This window comes from Homo sapiens, chromosome 7 (assembly GCF_000001405.40).
Source record: "Homo sapiens chromosome 7, GRCh38.p14 Primary Assembly".
Lineage (NCBI taxonomy): Eukaryota > Metazoa > Chordata > Mammalia > Primates > Hominidae > Homo > Homo sapiens.
In genome coordinates, this window is record NC_000007.14 from 106,008,437 (window position 1) to 106,030,639 (window position 22,203).

The 22,203-nt window shown below is 45.6% G+C and overlaps 1 protein-coding gene across 2 annotated transcripts in view, besides 1 other annotated feature; it reads left to right on the forward strand.

Moving 5' to 3' along the window:
• CDHR3 (cadherin related family member 3) overlaps nt 1-22,203 on the forward strand; it is a 73,169-nt gene that overhangs the window by 45,173 nt on the left and 5,793 nt on the right. For both annotated transcript variants that reach the window (NM_152750.5, NM_001301161.2), the window contains 9 exons: nt 4,424-4,595; nt 6,675-6,777; nt 7,491-7,589; nt 9,410-9,636; nt 11,937-12,108; nt 13,762-14,012; nt 15,945-16,126; nt 18,246-18,259; nt 20,115-20,146. In NM_152750.5, the coding sequence (NP_689963.2) occupies nt 4,424-4,595; nt 6,675-6,777; nt 7,491-7,589; nt 9,410-9,636; nt 11,937-12,108; nt 13,762-14,012; nt 15,945-16,126; nt 18,246-18,259; nt 20,115-20,146 (1,252 nt within the window). The remainder of the gene's footprint in view (nt 1-4,423; nt 4,596-6,674; nt 6,778-7,490; nt 7,590-9,409; nt 9,637-11,936; nt 12,109-13,761; nt 14,013-15,944; nt 16,127-18,245; nt 18,260-20,114; nt 20,147-22,203) is intronic.
• Nucleotides 1,125-1,314: a silencer, noted in NCBI's record as "silent region_18525". NCBI's record gives its function as "represses an Ori minimal core promoter by ATAC-STARR-seq in GM12878 lymphoblastoid cells {active_cell/tissue: GM12878}" and the evidence as "EXISTENCE:reporter gene assay evidence [ECO:0000049][PMID:35858748]".

Consider the following 22,203-nt stretch of genomic DNA (forward strand, 5'->3'; position numbering starts at 1 on the left):
ATATTGCACCATCTGATGAGATTTCCATATACTCTGTGAGCACCTTCTTCATAGTCCCTTTACTGACCCCTCCTAGAATGATCCTAATTCACCAGCTGCTTCCTGCTGACACCCCAATAACGTCAGTCACAATCTTAAGCATGTAGTAGGTTCCTATCCCAACCTAAGCCCTACAAGTCCATTAGATGGGTGGGGACAGCTGCATGGGTAGTTAGGATTGTGACTTCCACACCTTTACGTGCATAAATTGAGAGATGTCTGGGCCCAGGGGATGGAGTGGAGACAATTTGCAGCATCACACTTACACTTTCTTTGACATTTTAAATCTGTGCTAGAACTCTTGGGTGGTTCCAGTACATCCTGGGAAGCTCCTGCCCTCTTCTGCCCTCCTGCTCTTCCTTGTTCCTCTGCCCTAAGAGGTAGGGGGTGAAGGTTAAGAAGTGAGAATGCCTGGAGAGGGCTGTGCTGTCTCAAATCTTCCTTGTCCATTTTCTCTCTTCAGTGCATATCTGTTAATTGTATATTTGGCTTCCTGCAGTCCAGAGTCCCCTGGAGTATGGGAGGACAGTTTGCAGACTGTGTTCCATATTAGCTGGTGAAACTGCAATTCGAATATCCTAGACTGTCCAGGCAAGACCAAACAGAGTCCTGCACTTGATAATCTTCCCTCCAGATTAGCCCTGAAGGCCAATGTGAAATCCGTAGCTGGACTAACTGCATTTATTACTGAAGATAATCTAACCAAGGCTCAAGTTCCCTCTTTGGGCTCTTCTAGCGGGAGGAACTCTCAGCCACCCTATGAACGCCAAGATGTGAGGAAGGGCAACGAAAGGGACCCCTCCTCTGCAGTTCCAGGGGCGGAGGTCTTCAGCCTAAAGCCCAGCCTCGCGTCCCAAGGCTGCATAAGGGCGGGTGCGGAGAGGGCTGAGAAGCCCTGACCTGCAGCACCCGCCATCCTCCCAGCCTTATACCTTCTCCAGTCCAACTATGTCAAAGCCAAGCACGCAAGCAGGTCAAAACAGAACAAAGTGACAATGGCATGGTTCTGCCACAGTCTCTGACACTTGCTCTTGAATGTTTGTTCCTTCCTTGGAGGCTGTGGGCGCGGTCTCTGCTGTGGAGTTCTTGAGAGCAGGTGGCAGAGCGGGTGAGGTCAGCGCGGCTGCTGGAGGCGGTGTGCTGTGCTCCCGCAGGGAGGAGGGCGGCGTGGAGGAGGCGGGCGCCCCCTGCTGCCCGCGCGGGCTCCTGCAGGCTCCCAGCCTTTCGTACCGTGGCCCCTGAGGCTTTCCCAGGCTGATGATGAATGAGCCCAGGGCCCGACGGAGGCATCCGAGGCACGTGACAACCCCCGCTCTGGTTGTAAATTGTCAGGCGATTCAGTGAAAGCGCTTTGCAAGCTGTTTGTGAGCAAGAGGCGGAGCAGTTTGGCTGATTCAGAATGGGCTGGACACAGTCAACTTTGCATGGGGAGAGAAACATGGTCTGATGGCTGGGAGCGAGGGCAGCTCGCTTTTGAGGCAGGGATTGCTGAATGAGGGGAGTGGCTTTCCAAGTTAGGCGTTTAGGGGAAGAATACCAACTGTCAGGGACGAATGAGAGAACAGGCCAAGCAGCCCTGGAGGGCCAAGTGAGGAGGCCTCTGTTGGAGTGCCTGAAATGTCTGGCTTCGGGACCTTGGATTCTTTAAATGATGCAATCTCCTGGCTTCTGCAGAGTTGAAATCAAGGCTTAGATCCCCAAACCATCTGTGAGCCTGGATACTTATGCATGGAAGTTAAAGTTTACAGTGACTCTAACACTGCAGAGGATCAAGTCTGGATACATCCACTTTCCTGGACAGGCCTTGAAAATGCTCGGAACCACTCTTTCTTCCCCTGTGCAGTGGGGACAAGAATACAAACCTCTCTGAGATGAGGAAATTAGAGATAGTGTTTTTAAAGTGCTTGGTATGATACAGCATGCAGTTGGTGTTTAATAAGTGGTGTCTCTTCTAAGTCCCTATGAATGAAACCATGACATTGTGCAATCAAGGCAGGAATGTTCAGACTCCAATCCTGCTGAAATACAGAGGTGATCTTTGCCAATGAGGCATCGTGGAGACTCCATTACACGCTCCAGCAAGCAAACCTGTTATCCTCAGTGGCCCATGACCATTCTTGCTGTCAGACTTTGCTCCGTATGCACTGAGCCCAGAGCTGATTTTATCTGCCATGAAAAGAGGATGTGGAACAAAGAAGGGAACAGAGTTTGGTTGCAGAGAGAAGTGTATGCTCCAAGAACCAGATGCTAAGATGGGATTAAATGTGCAAGGCTATTATTAGGGGAGATGCCTGTGGCAGAAAATGGGGAGAGAGATGGACAAGGCTGGGCAAGTCATCAGATCATGATGCAAGGCTGATCTGAGTGAAGGAAAGAGGGAGAAAAGGTAGTTGGACATATTCTAGGCTGCCATGCAGTTAAGGAGTGTTCAGCTAGGGCATTGGGGGTCCTGGAGCCAGTGTCAACTGACATAGGACAGGAATGAGCCTTAGTATCTTTGCCATGACCAGTTGTTGGTACGTGGCCTCACCACAAACACAGTGATGGATTTCAGAGCCCAGCAGCTGAGGCCGATGGTCAGTTATGCTCTCATGGTTAAAGGTCTTCCAGGCACATTCTCATGACAGCCACGATATATTTTTGTAAGAAATTCTACCAAGGCAAAATATGATTAAGATAGGTAGCCAAAACAAACAAAAAAGAAAGAAAAGCCGCAAATTCCTCCCTGCTTGCTCTTTATGCATGCTCCTTTGCAATGTGATTTTGCTATTAGCTCCATCAAGAGATGGGTCTCCTTGAATCTGAGCTTGACCACGTGAATTGCTTTGACCACTGGAGCATTCACAAACATGGCACAACGGAGGCTTGAAAAATGCATGTGCCTTGGGACTTGCCCTCTCTTGTTACTTTTGGAACCAGAGACCTCCATGCAATGAGCCTAGACTAGCCTCCTAGAAGATGAGGACAAGAAGAAGCAGAAATCAAGCACCTTCCCACCACCAGGCATGTGAGTGAGGCCATCCTAGACTGTCCAGCCCCAGCCAAGCTGTCAGTGACCACAGAGACCAGCTAAGCCAAACTAAAACCGAAAGGACTGTGGGAAAACCTATAGTACTGTGAGAAACCATAAATGCTTGTTGTTTTAATTCACTCAGTTTTGGGACAGTGTGTTATGTAGTAAAAACTAATTGATATCATTTATGTCCATTTTATAGATGGAGGAACTGAAACCTGGAGACATGAGAAAGCCCCTCAATGAATGGAAGTCTCAAGGTGTTCATTGGTCTTCCTCAGAGCCTCCTACAGCAAGCTGGGCTTGATCGGAAGGCTCTGAGTTTGGGGGTAGCTTTACTCATTTGTGTTATTTGCCTAAACCCTGGAGTCTACTGAGATCAAGACCCCCGAATTTGATCATTAATAAATCTCTTTTGGATGAATAATATAAAGGTGTTAGGAGGCCCTTCTAGGCCATTGAAGCCACTAGAACAGAAGTCAAGGAATTCTCAATCTTCAAAGCATGGGAAATGAGGGGTACAGGGATTCTCCCTAGCCCAGTTAGAAACTCCTTCAGGCAGGACGTAAAATTTATATTTCTCTTCTATTCTTCTTCACTACTGTGCTAGTCTTATAAGTCTATTGTTCATTCATTCAACAAATACTTATTGAGTGTGCCAAGAAAAAAGCAAAGATCTTTGCCCTCATAGAGTTTACTTTCTAGGAGGGAAATAGAAAATAAGCAGAATAAATAAGAGAAATATATGGTGTACCAGATAATGATGTGTGCTAGGAATTAAAAATAAAGAGGGGAATAGGAGAGGAAGTACCGGGCAGGGAACATTGCCATTCTAGATAGGGTAGCCTCACTGATAAGGTGACATTTGATTAGATAGATGAAAGAAAGTGAAAGTGGGAGTCACGTGAGTATTTGTGGGGAGAGGATTCCACAGCTAGTGCAGGGAAGCTGAGGCCAGAGCCTCATGAAGAGCTCAGGGAGCACCAGAAGGCCAGAGTGGCAGGAGGAGAGTGAACAAGGAGAAGAGCTAGTGGGAGACGAGTTCAGAGAGGAAAAGGAGGGCACGTCATGAAGCGTCCTGCAGATCAAAGGTGGGACTTTGAGTGAAATGAGGAGCCATTTGGGACTTAGGAGCAGAGGAGTGACGTGATCTGACAACATGTTAGCAGGATCCCTCTGGCCGCTGTGTTTAAAATAGCCCAAAAGGTAGCAAGGGCAGAATCAGGGAGACCAGTTAGGAGGTGACTGCAATGACCATGGACTTACTTTGAATTGCAGTTAAAGTAGAGGTGTCTAGCCCAGGGCCCATGTGAGAAGGAACAGTCGATTACCATTTATTGGGGGAAATACTGGATTGTGTCTTTTCACCAGCATTATGGTGCCGGAAAGAACAGCCAAGGGGACGTTGCTTCTTGACCTAAACAAGTTCTGCTTTGATGATGACAGTGAGGCACCAAACAACAGATTCAACTTCACCATGCCATCTGGAGTGGGGAGCGGCAGCAGATTTTTACAGGATCCAGCTGGCTCTGGGAAGATTGTGGTCAGTTAATGGTCATTGCATCATTAAAAGGGCATCGGGAATTGGTCCAACATGCATCATGCTTTTGCTGCCCCATAGAGAGAAATTTCCAAGGTAACCCCCTCTCAGAGCGACTGTAACTGACAGGCTTAATAGTGAGTCTGTGTTCCCCATTCGCTCTTTATTTTACCCTGGTTCCAGGAATCATTTGTTACACATAGTTGTGCCTGGGCTGCTGAGGACTGGATTCTTCCTTGCATAGCATGCAGTTTGTGTGCCTGCTTAGCGTGCCTTCACAGACACGTCAGTGCCCTCTGTGCTCAGGCACTTTTGTTTATTTGAATGCTCATTCCCGGCCCATAGAGCTGTGAGGTGAGAGAAAGCAGGGCCAGGACCTTGAGTATGTCTGGGTAAATTCCACACCGTAGAACCACTGGAGACCAGAGGAGAGTGAGACAGTGAGGATGTGTAGGAAGCCCCCTCCCTGGCAACTTCAAGGGACAAAAGCTGCATTGGAAGAAGGATGGGCATGAAAAGTGGGTCCCAATGATTTGAGTTAGACCTTTCCTTACAGAGCTACTGCTGGAAGGTGGTGGGGAAGGAGAAGAGAAAAATGAAAGGGCTGGGAAAGCAGCAGCCTCAGGGAGGGAAGCCAGCAACCCGCTACCCTTCCCCTCACCCAGCTTTCTTCTCCACCTCCCATCCCAAGCCCTTCTTCAATCCCCAAGAACATCTCACCCAGTTTATTCATAGTACCATCTTAAAAATAATTTCTATTTTTTTCTGTTTAGGAAATTAATACATGTTCTCTGTAGAAAATATAGAAAGCACAGAAAAGCATCACCATTCACTGATAACCAGTGTTAGTAGTTTGGTACATGTCCTTCTTTTCTTTTTTCTATAGATATATTTTATGTGTATTTTATACATATATGCATAGGTATTTTTTATTTTTATTATTTTTTTAAGAGACCATGTCTCGCTCTGTCACCCAGGCTGGAGTGCAGTGGTTCAATCATAGCTCACCACAGCCTTGAACTCCTAGGCCCAAGTGATCCTCACATTTCAGCCTCCCTAGCAGCTGGGACTACAGGAGTGCGCCACTGTGCCTGGCTTATTTTTTAGCTTTTTCTAGAGCTTTTCTCAAGCTCCTGGTCTCAGGCAATCCTCCCACCTCCACCTCCCCAAGTGCTGGGATTATAGGCATGAGCTACTGTGCCTAGCCTGCATATGAATTTTAGATACAGTAGTGCTCCCTTATCCACCGGGGATATGTTCCAAGACCCCTAGTGAATGCTCGAAACCACAGATAGTACCAGACCCTACATATGTTATGTTTTTTCCTTCTATACATAGATACCTATGGTAAGTTTAATTTATAAATTAGGTACGGTAAGTATTGACAATAATAGTGAATAATAAAATAGAAAAAGTATAACAAAATACTATAACAAAAGTTATGTGACACTGGGCATGGTGGTGCACACCCATAGTCCCAACTACTTGAGGCTGAGATGGGAGGATCATTTGAGGCCACGAGTTTGAGGCTGCAGTGAGCTATGATTACACCTGTGAATAGCCACTGCACACCAGCCTGGGCAACAAAGGGGACCCCTATCTCTAAAAAACAATAAAGAAAACCAGTTATGTGAATATGGCTTCTCTCTCTCAAAATATATTATAGTACTGTACTCACTATTTTCAGACTGTGGTTGACTCCAAGTAACTGAAACTGTCAAAAGCAAAACCACAGATAATAAGGGGGGACTACTATAATGAAACAGCCCTGCATATAAGATTCAATTTTGTGCTTTTCTTCAACGAATCTGAAGTTGTGATCCTGTGCTGTTGAGCAATAGTGCTTAATGAACATCTTTGTACATAGATTCTGTCTCCTGGTAAATTATTTCCATAAGTTCACTAGCAGTGAGCAAAGGTATGGTCATAACTTTTTAAAGCTCCTAATTTTTATGGGCAAAGTGTTTGCCAAAAGCGTTTTGCCAATTTATATATCCACTAGCAGTATATGAAAATGTCTCTCGCAGCCCAATAAATAGGATTGTTTAATCTGTATAATCTACTATCTCTGTTTTAATCTAGCTGATTGGTGATCTAGACTACGAAAATCCAAGTAACCTAGCAGCCGGCAATAAATATACGGTGATAATCCAGGTGCAGGATGTGGCCCCCCCTTACTATAAAAGCAAGTATCATTTTGTTTTATTTCATGATTGTCTTTCTTGAGTATCAATGACCAAACTCTGCTGGGCAATACTAGGTATTGTGCTAGGTCCCCCTTCTCACTAGTACTGCCCTCATGCGGGGACCCCCTCTTTCTCGGCTGAATTACAACACTTAAGAGTCTTTGAAGGGAAATGCAAATGCCATCATATGACTTCCTTGGTTAAAGCCTTCGAGCATCTCCTGTAGCTGTCAAGTTCAAGTTCCAACTCTTTGACTTGGCATACAAGATTTTTCACCATTCGGTTGCTGCTTAATTCTCCAGCTTCACCTCCTGTCACTTGCTTCCAAGCCCCCATTTTTTTCCAACTGGGCAAACAGCTTGAAGTTTTCCAGAGTGAATTATGTGGTTTTATACCTTGGCATTTTTGCATATGCCTACAACACCCCCCAATCTCCTCCCTGCCCCATTTGTCTAATTCTATCCTTATAAGGCTCAGCTTGTTCATTCTCCTGGAAGCTGTTCCTACTCTGGGTTCTGTAGTGCTCTGTGTGCTCATGCGCTTATCAAAGGGTGAACACCCTCGGCATCTAAAAGGCAGGAGCTCCCATGTCTTAGCCACCTGGTATCCCCTATGCGCAAAGCCTGTACACAGGAGATTCTTTAAAGATGTTGAATAAACAAATGGATGAGTATGGATTTGTGATTAAATGTGTTTCTATTTCCATTTTTAGATAACGTCTACGTTTATATCCTAACAAGCCCAGAAAATGAGTTTCCTCTCATTTTTGATAGGCCATCCTATGTATTTGATGTGTCAGAAAGAAGGCCCGGTAAGTAACAGATAAGACACAGACCAGAGTGCTGTCAATGGACTCCATCCAAACGTGTGTTCTGTGGAGTGGAAAACTCCCTTCTGGAGGCCTCGCATGCTGTTTTGCACAGTGATTCACAGCTGATTAGTATTTATTGCACCTCTTATTTCTTTTAAATTTTCCTCGCTGCTGAGGAGCCCTTCAGGTGAAACTTGGACTTTTGAAAACTGTTGGTTAAACTGCATTTCTCAGAAGCCTCTGATTGCTTCCTTGCCTGTTTGCCTGATTCCGCTAATCCTCCCTTTTCCAGGTTTAAGTTTTCTCTTGGTCTCCACTGTGAGTTTTATCCAGCTCACTCAGAGAATTAAAATTTAAAAACAGAAAAGGTTTCCCATTTCTATATTTCCTTCATTTACAAACAAAATAAAGGCATTTTCTCTCTCCCCTACTAAGATTCCCTGAAGGCCTTCTTTTCTGCCCTTTACAACACCCTGCTTTTTGCAGGCTCCTCCCCCTTTAAGGAAAAGACTCACTCCCCACTTCCAGCTTCACTTTCTGCCTCCCTCTCGCTCTCTCAGTTTGAAGGTAATACTATAAATGCTCTAGTGTAATAGACTCCCCACAGCCGTTCATCTTTAGATCATGGATACTTTTTCCATATTAAAAACAACAACAACAAATGAAACCAAAACCAAAACGCTCCCTCTAAAATGATCCATTCTCTTTAGGATGGTCTCCATTTCCTGACATTAAGTTTTCAAGCAAAATGCAAAATGCAAGTCCAAAGAAAATGCTTTTAATTTCTTATACCTTATCCAGTGAATAACAAATTCGAAAGGAATAGGCTTTCTGGGAATTCACAGATCTTACTGCAGTTCTTTTTGATCACCTACTTTGGGTTACAAACTTAGTGCTGGGATACAGAATTGAAAAAGAGAAGGTTCTGCCCTTGAGGAGTGTAATTTATGAGAAGGAACTCCTACAAAACAAGCCAGAATGCTAGCAGACCCACCAACAATATTTGTAAAAATTGCAAAATGGAAGAGGATTTAAAAATCTATAATCTGTAATCATCAATTACTAAATTCTTTAACAATTATTTATTTTTAAAAGAGCAATTCATGCTCATTATAGAAAATTGAAAAACACGGGACTTTTAGACAATACTGCTGCAAAGAGATGTATGTGTGAGGTTGTATGTTCTTTGTACTATTGTTTCTGATAGCAAAATGATTAGTGTCCCTGGAGCCTATATAAAGGCATAAATTGCTGGGCATGGTGGCTGACGACTATAATCCTAGCACTTTGGGAGGCCGAGCTGGGCGGATCACTTGAGGTCAGGAGATCGAAACCAGCCTGGCCGACATGGTGAAACCCCATCTCTTCTAAAAATACAAAAAGATTAGCCAGGTGTGGTCGTGGGCACCTGTAATCCCAGCTACTTGGGAGGCTGAGGCAGGAGAATTGCTTGAACCCAGGAAGTGGAGGTTGCAATGAGCCGAGATCGCACCACTGCACTCCAGCCTGGGCGACAGAGTGAGACTCCGTCACACACAGACACACACACACACACACACACACACACACACACACACACACACAAAGATATAAATTGTCTATTACACCTCACAGGACTGCTTGGATCATAGGGTCAGTTACCTAGCGGGTGTTGGTTAGCATTATTTCAATTTAGTAGAATTGAAGCTATAAAACAGAGTTTGGACAGCAAGGAGGCCTCCAGAAGTCCTTCTTACCATGGCAGTTAGGACATCTGTTCCTGAATCATCCTTCTCTACCCCTTAAAAGCAGGACTTATTGCAGGTACTTTATTCCTCCAGCCAGAACCCGAGTGGGACAGGTGCGAGCCACTGATAAAGACCTCCCCCAGAGCAGCCTCCTGTACTCCATCTCCACTGGAGGGGCCAGCCTCCAGTATCCAAATGTATTTTGGATTAATCCCAAGACAGGAGAACTCCAGCTGGTAACTAAAGTGGACTGTGAAACAACCCCCATCTATATTCTCAGAATCCAGGCCACCAACAACGAAGACACAAGCTCTGTCACTGTGAGTGGTGCTGCTTGGTATAGTGCCGGTAACCCAACTGGTTGACTTAGGGTCTCTCTGGCACCCCCAGAGTGTGGATGTGGCAATGAGGAAACTTCCCAGGGTACATCCTGCGGATGTGGTGAGAAACAAGTAAAGGTGCCCTGGGAAATAAAGATCCACATTTTTCTTTTTTCGTTTTTGAGGCAGGGTCTCGCTCTGTTGCCCAGGATGGAGTACAGTGGTGTAACCTTGGCTCACTGCAACTTCCACCTCCTGGGCTTAAGCGATTCTCGTGCCTCAGCCTCTCAAGTAGCTGGGATTGCAAGTGTGCACCACCGTGCGCAGCTAATTTTTGTATTTTTAGTAGAGACGGGTTTCTCCATGTTGGCCAGGCTGGTCTCGAACTCCTGACCTCAAGTAATCCACTCGCCTCAGCCTCTCAAAGTGCTAGGATTATAGGCGTGAGCCACTGCACCCAGCCCCATATTTTTTTGAGGCCCAAGTTTGCGGGTGACTGACAAAAGCACTAAAGTTGTTGGCCAGATATTAGAATGTCTGGTGGACCCACAAAGCCACTTTGTGGGACAAGGTTCCTCTTGTGGCCCTGTAAATCTTGCTTTGCCTTCACTGAAGGCTGTTGGTGAAATGCACACTTCCTAGAAGTTGAGTGTGGTTTTGGAGTTATGCATTTCCTCCCCAGGAGCAGTTATGCCGTGTTCCTACCCTGCCTCTATGCATACCAGATGGGGTAGATCTTAAAACGATGCTGTGCTGCTATCTTGCTTCCCAACCTTTGAGGCTGAGAATGTTGTTACAGGCAGATTCTGAGTCAGAGGGTCTGGGGCCTGAGATTCTGCATTTCTGACGTGCTTCCAAGTGGGGCGGCGCTGCTGGTCCCCTGCCACACCTCGAGTTGCAGGGACCTAATAGGTCCATGTTGTCAGTGGTTTGGATTATCCAAGGGCAACATGATAGCCACAAAGACCAAACTATTCCCTGGTCCTTCCCATTAGTAAAGTAAAAAAGCGTGAAGGCAAAATGAACTCTCAGTTAGCAGCAGGCAGCCATAGACAAAGATTGGTTCAGAGTCAGGAGACCGAGTTCATTTTTCAACTTTGATCCCAATTTTCCGAGGGAGTCTGAGCAATGCTTATCTCCGTGTCCATATTTCTCTATCTCTTAAACGGAGAGTCACCTGATAACCCCAATGCCTGAATAGTCCGCTTCCTCCGATAACTTGCTTTGAATTAATGGGATGATGTTTTTAATGATGTGCAAGGTTTGGCATTGCTACCCAAGGAAAGTTGGAGATAATTGCAGTGTTTGTTAGGCTGTTTTTTTTTTTTTTTAAAGAAAATGAATGGACTCCACTCTGGGGGCTAACTAGAGTGAACATTTCAATTTATTCCCGGGCTCAGAAATAGCTGAAATCCCAAATTTCAAAGGTAGTATGAATATGACTCAAAATTCATAAGCTTTTTAAAAGGGGTGATGAACTAAACGATCACACAAGTCCCTTTCAGGGCTGACATTCTATGATTCTGTGCTGGCAGGCATCCCAGGCTATATTCCAATTTACCAGGCATAAAAGACAGCGATGAAAGAGAATAGGCTGGCCCCTGCTTATGGCAGGTTAGCTCTAGGGCTTAGTACAGTGCTAATAGCCCAGGTTACAGATGAGATCCCAGCTTAACCAGGCCTGCTTGTTCTGTCCCAGTGAGTCTTAGCCCTGGCTGCATATTAGAATCAGCTAGGGAACATCAATGAGGGCCCTGACCCCCACCCTCCAATCTATTGGTTCTGAAGTGGGCCCAAGAAAGCAGAGCCAGGGCTGAGAACCATTTCTGCATATGCCAGAGTTAAAGAAGTTCCATTTACAAGGGGCAGCAGGCAAGGTGGCACATGGAGACACCGTAAATCCACACCTTCCTGGAAAAACAACTCGGTGTCATCTGCAGGTGAGCCTATGTGTCCAGGTGCATGTGTGTGTGTGTGGGGGGGGGGCAAGGTATACATACACTAAATGTGCACACACACATGCATATGGTGTAGAAGTTAATAGCATAGGATTTGGAGTAGGACAGACCTGAATTCAAATCCCAACTCTGCCATTCACTAGCTGAATGATCTTAGATCAATTACCTAGTCTCTCTAAACTTCCATTTTCTCACCATAAAATGGGAATAATCATGTTAGCTATCTCATGTGAGTTTAAATGAGCTAATTTATGAAAAGTGCTTAGCCTGAAAACTGCCTACACACAGTAAGCACTCAATGAGTTTTAGCTATTGAGAATGACCACCTTCTTGCTACTCTAGGTTACTGTGAACATCCTTGAAGAAAATGATGAAAAGCCAATTTGTACTCCAAACTCTTATTTCCTGGCCCTCCCAGTGGATCTGAAAGTTGGCACAAATATTCAGAATTTCAAGCTGACATGTACCGACCTTGATTCCAGCCCCAGATCTTTCCGTTATTCCATTGGCCCAGGTATAGTACTTGGTGTCGACAATCCTGGCCCTGTCTCTGAGGACCCTGAAGTTGTCTAGGGTAGGGGTCTGTGCTCACACACTGATCTGGGCAAAGTGGGATGGGAGTTGGGAGGGCATTATTTTTTTGAGATAGGGTCTTGCTATGCTGCCTAGGCTAGTTTTGAACCCCTGGGCTCAAGTAATCCTCCTGCTCAGCCTCCCAAGTAGCTGAGACTACAGGCATGCCTCATTGCACCCAGCTTGCTGGGGAAGTATTTGAATGAGGAAAGCAGAGACACAAAATCTAGCAGCCCCTATGCTTCCTGGCACTCCTCTCAGTTTCCCCTTCTTGTCTTACTCCTCCCAGACCCCATACGTGACTGCCCAAAGGCCCAAGAAAAGGGTGAACCCCCCAATTCCTGACTACAGTATGAGTCATAAAGCATATTAGTGTTGTTAGAAAAAATGCAGTCCAACTTTTCGACCACCTCTTTTCCTGAAAGCTGGTAGTGGGGGCAGGGAATCCCAGTCCTCTCTCTGGATAATAATAGATTAAATAGATTAAGTGCGTTTTGAAACGTGTCCTCAGGAATTCTCTTCTGCTCCATTCATCTTCTGTCTTTAAAAATATACCATCGTAGGGAAAAAAGAGCACCCCTCAATGGAAATTAGACCAAAATAGCTCATCTAATGAAGTGCTGGGGCCAGAGATTTAAACCCAAACAAGCAGAACAATTCCACGTGAGAGAGTAAAAATCCATCCCTGCTGCCTGCTGTGCCCTTGGCCGAGCAGGAACTTGAACAGTAGGAAGCCTCTCGAGCTGGCTGTGTCACAAAACCCAGGGGCAGAAACTGCCTCGAGACTGCAGTTGCCGAAGATGGAAACAATCCATACTGAGAGCCCTAAGGCCTTTATGGAGCATTTTGCTGTTAAGGGAGCAAAAATTGCATCATCTCCTGCTCCATTTACTGGTGTTCAGTCGGTAATGAGTCTGGAGCCAGTGGAGGAATGAGCGGGCATGTGCTTGGGCTGGCAGCCTCTCTGCCCCAGGCTCCCTGAGCTGAGCCATGAGCCCCAGCAGAGCTGTGTGTGTGTTTGGGGGTGTGATGGGGTGGGTTCAGGAGGACCTGGGACTGCAATTCCCGCAAAGCCAGGAGGCACCTTCCTTTGGAGGACTCCAGGGACAGCCATAACCAGTGTGACCCACTGGGTCCTGTGAAAAGCATGCAGTGAACTTGGCCTATGGCTAGGGATGTGACCTATTCTACCCTCTTGAAACCCACTCATTTGTTTGAGTGTGAATTACACGTGTTGTTACCAAATAATTGCCGGATGAGAAATCAGAAGGGGCTGCACCAGGGTTACAAAGTCTCTGCTTAATACTCAGCAAGATGGCACCTAGGCTAAGGGTGTTGTACTATTGTCCTTTTCTACTCAGCCTTGTTTGCAGCCACACTGGTTGTGAGCAAGAGTTTCTTTGTACTAATGCCATCTCTGGTGCAGTTAAAGCCTGTAGCATATAACTAATCCAGCTCTGGTGTATCAGAGACACAGTCTACACTTGAGGTGTGGACATTTGAGAAAAAGATTGAATGCAGTTTTCTTCTAAACCTTTATTTCTTACTCTCTTTTCTTCCTTTTACCAACACCCCTGCATCAAATCTCATTTAGGTAACGTCAACAATCATTTCACCTTCTCTCCCAATGCTGGTTCCAATGTCACACGCCTGCTGCTTACATCTCGCTTTGACTATGCTGGTGGGTTTGATAAGATCTGGGACTACAAGCTACTTGTCTACGTAACTGATGACAACTTGATGTCTGACAGGAAGAAAGCGGAGGCTCTTGTTGAGACAGGAACAGTGACACTGAGTATTAAAGTCATTCCCCACCCAACCACTATCATCACCACGACCCCCAGGGTAAGGGCTTTAGGACCTGGAATCCCCAGGCACATTCCCTTGTGAGTTATGTTGATGGACTTCTTTCCCCGGCCTGGAGGTATGTGGGGTGGACTGAAGAGTTGAGGTATTAGGATGTTGCCAAAAATGGCAACCATGGGCTGGACTGGAGTAGCTGCAGGGTGGCAAAAATCTGGTGAGACCTCAGACTCATAACCGCTAACTCAACCACTAACATTTCCTGTTCTGGTAGAGAAGAGTGTGTTGTTTGTGCAGAGACTTGTGAGAGATCAGACCTCAACCATCTGTGTGGCTTGTGGCACAGGAGCTGATTTCCATGGGCATGCTGCCAGTTGCTACCTTCACAACCCCTCTCTGCTTGTTCAGAAGAGTCTTTGCAAGTCAATATCCATGAAATTAGGTTGCTTGCTTACTGCTGGGTGCTCTTTCCCACATCTTTTGAAGAATCACCAGGTACCAATCTGTACCCTACACCCCACCTCCGCTCCAAAAAAATTCATCCAATCTACAAATATCGATTTAATGCCTATAGTGTGCCAGTCACTTTAGCAAACAAGCCAAAAATGATCCCTGCTCTCAGAAAGCTTATTGTATAGGCGAGTGATTCTCTAAGTGCGGTCCCTAGACCATCAGAATCAGCACCACCTGGAAACTGGTTGGAAATGCAAATTCTCAGGCCCAGCCTAGATTATTAAAGTTATAGGTTACCCAACCATGATCATCACCATGACCTCCAGGGAAGGATGCTGGAACCTGGAATCCCCAACTCTATCCCCTAACCTAATGAATCCGAAGCTCTGGAGGTGGGGTCCAGTGAGCTGTGTTTTCAATCAGCCTTTCAGGGAATTCTAATGTGCATTAAAGTCTGAGAGCCACTGATCTAGAGGGGGAGATAGATTACAAACAAGTATTCAAATTGACAAAGTAAATACAGACTGTGGGAAAGGGTAGGAAGAAAATGACCAGGTGCTATCACAGAATTGGCCTGGAGAAGGAAGGGAGAGCCTTGAATCTGACAACAGGATTATCTTCCCTGCCCCTTGGAGGAACTGGCTTGCATCTATGCTGACTCATCTGTCCCCTTTCTTCCTCCTCCTCTTCCTCCTCCTCCTCCTCCTCCTAGTAGAAGCTGCACCCCTGGTCAGCAGCCTGATACCTGCAGCATGCCAGAAGGAAGATAATCAGAACCTTAGAGAACCCACTATGGAGGTGGCCAGCTTCTTCTCAGAGTCTTGCCAGGAGCTGGTTCATGCTTCTCTCTCCCATGCTCGAGTCAATATGACCCCAGTGAATGGAGGCATATGGCAACCCTAGGACTTTCCTTGTGGGAGGAGCTGGTAGGCTCTCCTGAGTGAGGAGTTCCCACCTTTCTTGGGCTCAGAGCATGACCTGATTGTGACATCTCCAATCCTGAAACCTCCGTAACTTGTTTGTTATCTGTCTCCAGCTCTAGGAAGCAGATGCTGAACTTGAGGCTTTGCTGTGATATCAGCCCACTGCTCTGGCAGTGGCAGCTTGTAGTTGAGAAAACACTGAAAAGCCTACAAGGCATTTAAAAAAACAACTTTCGTGGCTTATGCTGTCTCGGTGAGAGACAATGGCTATATTCGTCCCTGGGTTATGCCCAGATATGGCAGAAAAAAAGCCAATGGAGTTTTTTTTAGCTTTGGGGAAGGGGAAGACAGAGAATAAAATAAGGCCTAGAGTTGTTTTTCAGTTCCCTAAAATTTCTGGGTTTTGATCTAATGGATGTCTGCAAAGACTATAAATAAGGTGATGGGTTGAAGCAGCAAGAACTGTGAGCACACAGATGTCCAACTTATAGAGCAATAACAATAACAAAGAGTGGAATAAACACTCAACACGAGAGAGTGCTGAATGTCAAAATCACTACCACCCTCTACTCACCCTCCCTGCTCTCTGTTGTTCAAGCCCAGGGTCACCTATCAGGTCCTGAGGAAAAACGTTTACTCTCCATCTGCATGGTACGTGCCGTTTGTCATCACTTTGGGCTCCATATTGCTTCTGGGTCTCCTCGTGTACCTGGTCGTCCTATTGGCCAAAGCCATCCACAGACACTGCCCCTGCAAGACTGGGAAGAACAAGGAACCTCTGTAAGTTGCCAGTGGGCTGGGCCCTCTTCCCCACCTCCTTTAGGACACTGTTTCTGGTGACATCAGGAGAAGGAAAAATGGAGAATCAGGATTTCTCTACAAGGCAGGTTGCCTGGAGTGAAGGCAGGAAAAGGAGATACGGGGGAAGGAATCCCAGCTCCCCTCGGTCCTGGTGCACTTTCTTTGTCACCTGCTAGGCCAGGAAACCATCCTTTTGGCTTTCCCTGGCAACCTACTCTGTCCTTGAGGCTCTTAATAAGACTGGGGCATCAACCTTCTGATGACCTTGCCCTGGATAAAATCTTCAGCAAAGCCCTGTTGTAAATAGCGATAGAATATGCCGTGCTCTTATTTGTAGAATATTTAAAGGATAGTATGGAATTAAGGCAAGCACACAAAACCAATAAGGGAATTAAGCTTTTGTCTCCAGTGACTCAGCCGGGTTTTTGTGTGACCAAATAATTCTTGGTGTTTTGCTTGTGGTCTCAGTCTCTCACTCTTAAGGGTTGTAAACGCAGGCCTGTTTTCTCTTTTTCCAGTTTTCAGCTGCCCACTAATATGCCTCTTATTGTGCCAATCTGTGATGTGTCTTTTACTGGCTAAAGTGAGGTAGTAGAGTGACGTGAAGAGAGCACCAAAGAATCACAAACTTCTCCCAGAGCCAAGCTCCTTGATTCTCAGTAGCTCTTACAACTTACAGCTTAGATGGTTCTGAGCCTGAGTTTTGGAGTTAGATGGGCCTGAGCTCAAGTCTTAGCTCTACCATTTTCTTGGAATATGGCTTTGAGCAAGTGACCACCTCTGTGAACTTGAATTTTCTTATTTGTAAAATTAATCAACTAAATGAACAAATGTAAACAAGGCACTTAACTGTATTCCTGATATAGAGTAAATGCTTAGTACACTACCCAGCCAGTTTTTACAAATCTTGTTTCATTATTCTTCACAGATGAGTCCCAATGAGTTCAGGATTCTAGATTCCAAGTTTAGCTCTATGCCCAAGTATCTTGAGGTGTTGGAACCTCTGAGTTCTAGGATCTCTCAATGGCAAAAAGAGGGGGTGATAAGACATGTGTGCCTTTTACGGGTATTTTAAATATTAAATATTAACTGTCAAATAAGAAAATCTATGGATGAAAGACTGTATAAAAGTACAAGGCATTAGAATAAAGATGTGCGTTGCATTTTGCCATATTTATTGCGGAAGTTTGTTGCTATTGGCAACCTTGACTTCAAGGTAAGAAATCCTCGAGCATCTGCTGAAATTAAAAAAGGCATTTTTGTTTGAACTCTATTCACAAATTGATTTTTTTAAAAAAAAACAGCTCTAAAAGAGTAATTGCTTGTAAGGATGGTGGTGTACTGTACTGGGATTTGGATAGAAGTTCTTGAAGAAACAAATCCAATAGACACTGCAACTCTCATGTAATTTATGGCTAAACGTTAAATATGCACCTTGAACCTGGTTCTTTTAACTTATGTTGTAAATATTAATTGTTTTCAACATGGTTGACTTAAAAAAGAAAAACTAGCTAGAAAACCAGACTCAGACTCAACCTCTCTGGAAATTAGTTATACCATATGACAGCCAACTTTGTCAAATAGCAAAGAAGAAAATTAGGGTTACAGAGCTATAGAATCCAAGGTGATCATGGGAAATCTCGTAGGGTCTGAGTCCAGCTCTTCATGTGACAGGAAACCAAAATGTAACTGCCAGCTCTCAAACCTCCCTGTTGTGAGCCAAGCCTTCTGCTCTGCTGGCTCTTGGGGAGAAAGGGATAGGGCAAGAAGACTCGCTGGACAGTCTGACTAGGGCAGGCATGTCCTCACCAGGTTTTCTCATCAGAAACAATGTATTCCCTGAAGTTTATAAGGTGATACTTTTCAACTCATCAAATTCCCAGAACCTCCCTAGTCCAAAGCCAATAGTGATGAAGCTGCTTTGTTCGAAGCAGGCGTGGTGATCTAGTTTTCTTTCTGGCCCCTATCCCTGGCACCTCTTTCAGTCAACCCCTGTATCTCAAAGGGCATAGTTGCCCAAAGAACCCCATGGTGTCATGTGTGTGCCAGTGCAGCATACTTTCAAGTGAATTAATAGCCATTCTTTTTCCCCCCATAGGACAAAGAAAGGAGGTATGTACAGTACCTGTTTCCCTTGTCTGTTGTTTTTTGCTTGCTCTGTTGTGCTACGTAAAAAGGTTCCTACTCGGCAAAGAATCAGGCCGCGATCACATCTTGGAGCATTTTCAGCTGCATCTTCTGTGGCTGGAAGGAAGCGGAGGTCGGTTGCAGCTGGAGAATGGGAAGGGTGGGGGGACAGTGCCTTGGCCTGCCTGGATATCTCAATTTGGTCCTGCCTATGCCCTACCTAGAGCCCTCGCCAATCAGCTCAGCTGAACACCTAGGTCTGTCCCTTGCTGCATGGCACAGGAAGAAAGAACTCTCCGTGTGTTAAATGTAGACAGGACCTGCTTACTGCAGCCCATGGAGGGTGTCCTGAGGACAGCTAATGCTTTGTGCTGGACACAGGCCTCTTTTGAAAGAACAGATAAGGCTGGGCGCAGTGACTCACGCCTGTAATCCCAGCACTTTGAGAGGACGAGGTGGGTGGATCACAAGGTCAGGAGTTTGAGACCAGCCTGGCCAGCATGGTGAAACCCCCGTCTCTACTAAAAATACAAAAAATTAGCCGGGCATGGTGGCACGCACCTGTAGTCCCAGCTACTCGGGAGGCTGAGGCAGGAGAATTGCTTGAACCCAGCAGGTGGAGGTTGCTGTCAGCCAAGATCACGCCACTGCACTCCAGACTGGGCGACATAGTGAGACTCTGTCTCAAAAAAAAAAAAAAGAACAGATAATATTTGATTCCCAGATTCTAATGGATTTGATCATTTCCACAAATTATTTAGGTTAGACTAGTGAGAAGGGGGAGATGAGGGTGGTGAGATGGGCTGAGAGCTGACTGACTTCAGAGAAGTGGGTAAATTGGGAAGGTCCATCTGAGCAGCTCCAGGTCTGAGGAGGTGTCCTGGCTTGGCCTCAAGTAGACTCCAGAGTGTGGGGGAGACAGGACAAAGAATTGGACAGTGTTTTAATTAAAAAAAAAAAAAGTTTGCTTTAATCACTCCATCTACAGGCATGTGTCTGACATGCTTAAGGCATGTCTCAACAGGGTTAGAAATTTGATTATAGTGGTTATTGATCATATTGACAGAGATGATTTTAATAAATGAGATTTTCACAAACTGTCTCTAATCCCACTTTTTAAAAAGGGGATGGGGGCTGGGCATGGTGGCTCACACTTATAATCCCAGCACTCTGGGAGGCCAAGGCTAGAGGATCACTTGAGCCCAGAAGTTCGAGACCAGCTTGGGCAAGATAGTGAAACCCTGTCTGTAGAAAAAAAATTTTTAAATTAGCTGGGTGTGGTAGTGTACGCCTGTAGTCTTAGCTACTGGGGAGATAGCTGAGAGGATCACTTGAGCTCAAGAGGTCAAGGCTGCAGCGAGTTGTGACCGCACTCTAGCCTGGACGACAAGAGTGAGACCCTGTCTTAAAATAAAATAAAATAAAATAAAATAAAATAAAATAAAATAAAATAAAATAAAATAAAATAAAAGGGCTTGGGAATTAATGCACAAAACCCACACCTTATGAACAGAGGTATCCAATCCCATCTTTCTTTCTTATCTTAAAAGCCATGTAAAAGCCAGTTTTCTAGGTCCACTGATAATAAGCTAGAAAAAGAATAAAAAACAACTAAATTGTTCGTATGTTATTGTGTGTGTGTGTATACATATGTGTACGTATTTTTTTCTGAGAAGATGGAAAGTTGTCAAGAAACATATCTATAGACAGAACAATTCTTTGCTGTGTCTGCAAGACTGAGATCGAAGCCTATTTAGGGGAAATACCGTTGTGGAGGTGGAATTTTAAGGTCAATTTACCACCCAAGAAGCTTAACTTCTGCCTGTTCTGTTCTCTGCAGAAACGAAGACTGCAGAGAGAGACGTCGTGGTGGTGAGTATGGGCAGTGTGGGGCACCAGGCATAGACGCTGGGGGATAGGGGCTCCCGTCTCCCCCGAAGGCAGGCCTGCCACAGCCTTGTGGGCATGTTTATCATTCAGGGAGGTGCTTGTGTTTGGCTACTGGAACAGATTGCTGTGTGACGAGCTCCTGATAGAATTTGTTCCCTCCACTGAACATGCCTGCTGATATATTTGCAGAAGAACAGGATTTCATAAATATTGAGTAGTGGTGTTTATTATCTATACCAGCTCTCCACGAGAGTGAGTTGAGGGAGTGAAGCTTAAAGACCAAAACTAGTGCTTCAGCCTCCAGTGAGATTTAAATTTTCTTTCTTTCTTTCTTTCTTTCTTTCTTTCTTTCTTTCTTTCTTTCTTTCTTTCTTTCTTTCTTTCTTTCTTTCTTTTTAAGACACAGTTTCACTCTGTTGCTCAGGCTGGAGTGGAGTAGCACAATCTCGGCTCACTGCAACCTCTGCCTCCTAGACTCAAGCGATTCTCATGCCTCGGCCTCCCAAGTAGCTGGGATTACAGACACGTGCCACCACGCCTGGCTAATTTTTTGTATTATTAGTAGAGATGGGGTTTCACCATGTTGGCCAGGCTGGTCTTGAACTCCTGACCTCAAGTGATCCACCCACTGTGGCCTCCCAAAGTGCTGGGATTATAGGCATGAGCCACTGCGCCCAGCTGATTTAAACTTTCTTTGCTCTTCCACTACCTTGCAGAAAAGTGACAGAGAAAGGGCCCTCCCTGGTCCGGGGTTGGCTCTACCCACTTAGCCTTATCACCTCGGGGACTTCCTTGGCCTCTCTGAGCTTTAGGTTCCTCACCTGTAAAATGGGGGTGAGGATATCTGCCCTGAGATAACAGATGGAGAAATAGTTTGAAAATTGTTAAGTGTCACACAAATGCAAAGTGTTACAGGATAGCTGGAAAGTTCCCTCTCCTCCACCTCTGTCTCTCTCTCTCTCTCTCTCTCTCTCTCTCTTTGACAGAACCTTATCTACCCCCTGGGAAGTGAAGTGAAGGAACTTGAAGGTGGCTCCCTCCAGCTCTTCCCTACCCCCACGAATAAGGCTTTGTCATGGTCCAAGCTTCATGAATTTGTTGCATAATTCAATGGCTCCTCCAATGAGGAAGTCAGTGCAGGGCACTGGAATTTTGGCTTCAGGCACATCCATCCCCTAAGTCTTCTATGTTCTGGCCAGTGTACAAACAGGAAAAGAGGCAGTCTCAGGTCTCCTGGGTCTTATTGTCTAAGGCGAGTACCCTTGGGGATGCCACTTAGCGATTGCTCTAGAACTATGTAATATTAAATTAGTCTATTAAATAAATACCTATGACCACAAACAGTGGGGCTGCTTAGCTGGTCAAATTGATGAAGGCCATATAATCCCCATTTCCTCTCTCTTCAGAGTTGGGGAGTTGTGGGGAACTAGGTAGGGGATCCTTTAAGTGATAAAAACTGGAGATTGGAAAGCTTGCTAAACTCCAAACACAATCCTTGTTACTGTGCTAGTGACCCTGACTTTGGCACCTCTAGAGGGCAGCATGTGAGGGAAGGGGGTGTTTCTATGGGGACAAGGGACAGGTGCATTAGGCAGAAGTCAGGTCCTGGAGGGTGGCACCAAGGACAGATCAGGGAAGAGAAAAGACCTGGAGCACAGGGCTTAGGTGAGGCCCAGATGCGACACTGCATTGGCCTAGGCAAGGGGAGGCCGCAGGGGAGGGCCAGAGTGCCAGGGCCAGAGGTACGGACACCTGGGAGCTCACCTGTGTCCACCTTGACAATGCCTGACAGCAATTCACTGACACAACGTAGGTCTTAGCCATGCTGTGTGGCATTTCCACTCTTCCTTCTACGCTCAGATTTTATTTACTCAGGATGCTTCCTTAACCCCCAAGTGTGGTTTAAATGTCCCCTCTACCCCTACCTGTGCCCCATAACACCCTATATCTCCCCATCATAGCCTTATTACTCTGCATTGCAGCACCTGTTTGTAATTGGCAAGCTTTGTACAGGCAGTGACTATGCCTGCCTTGTTCAT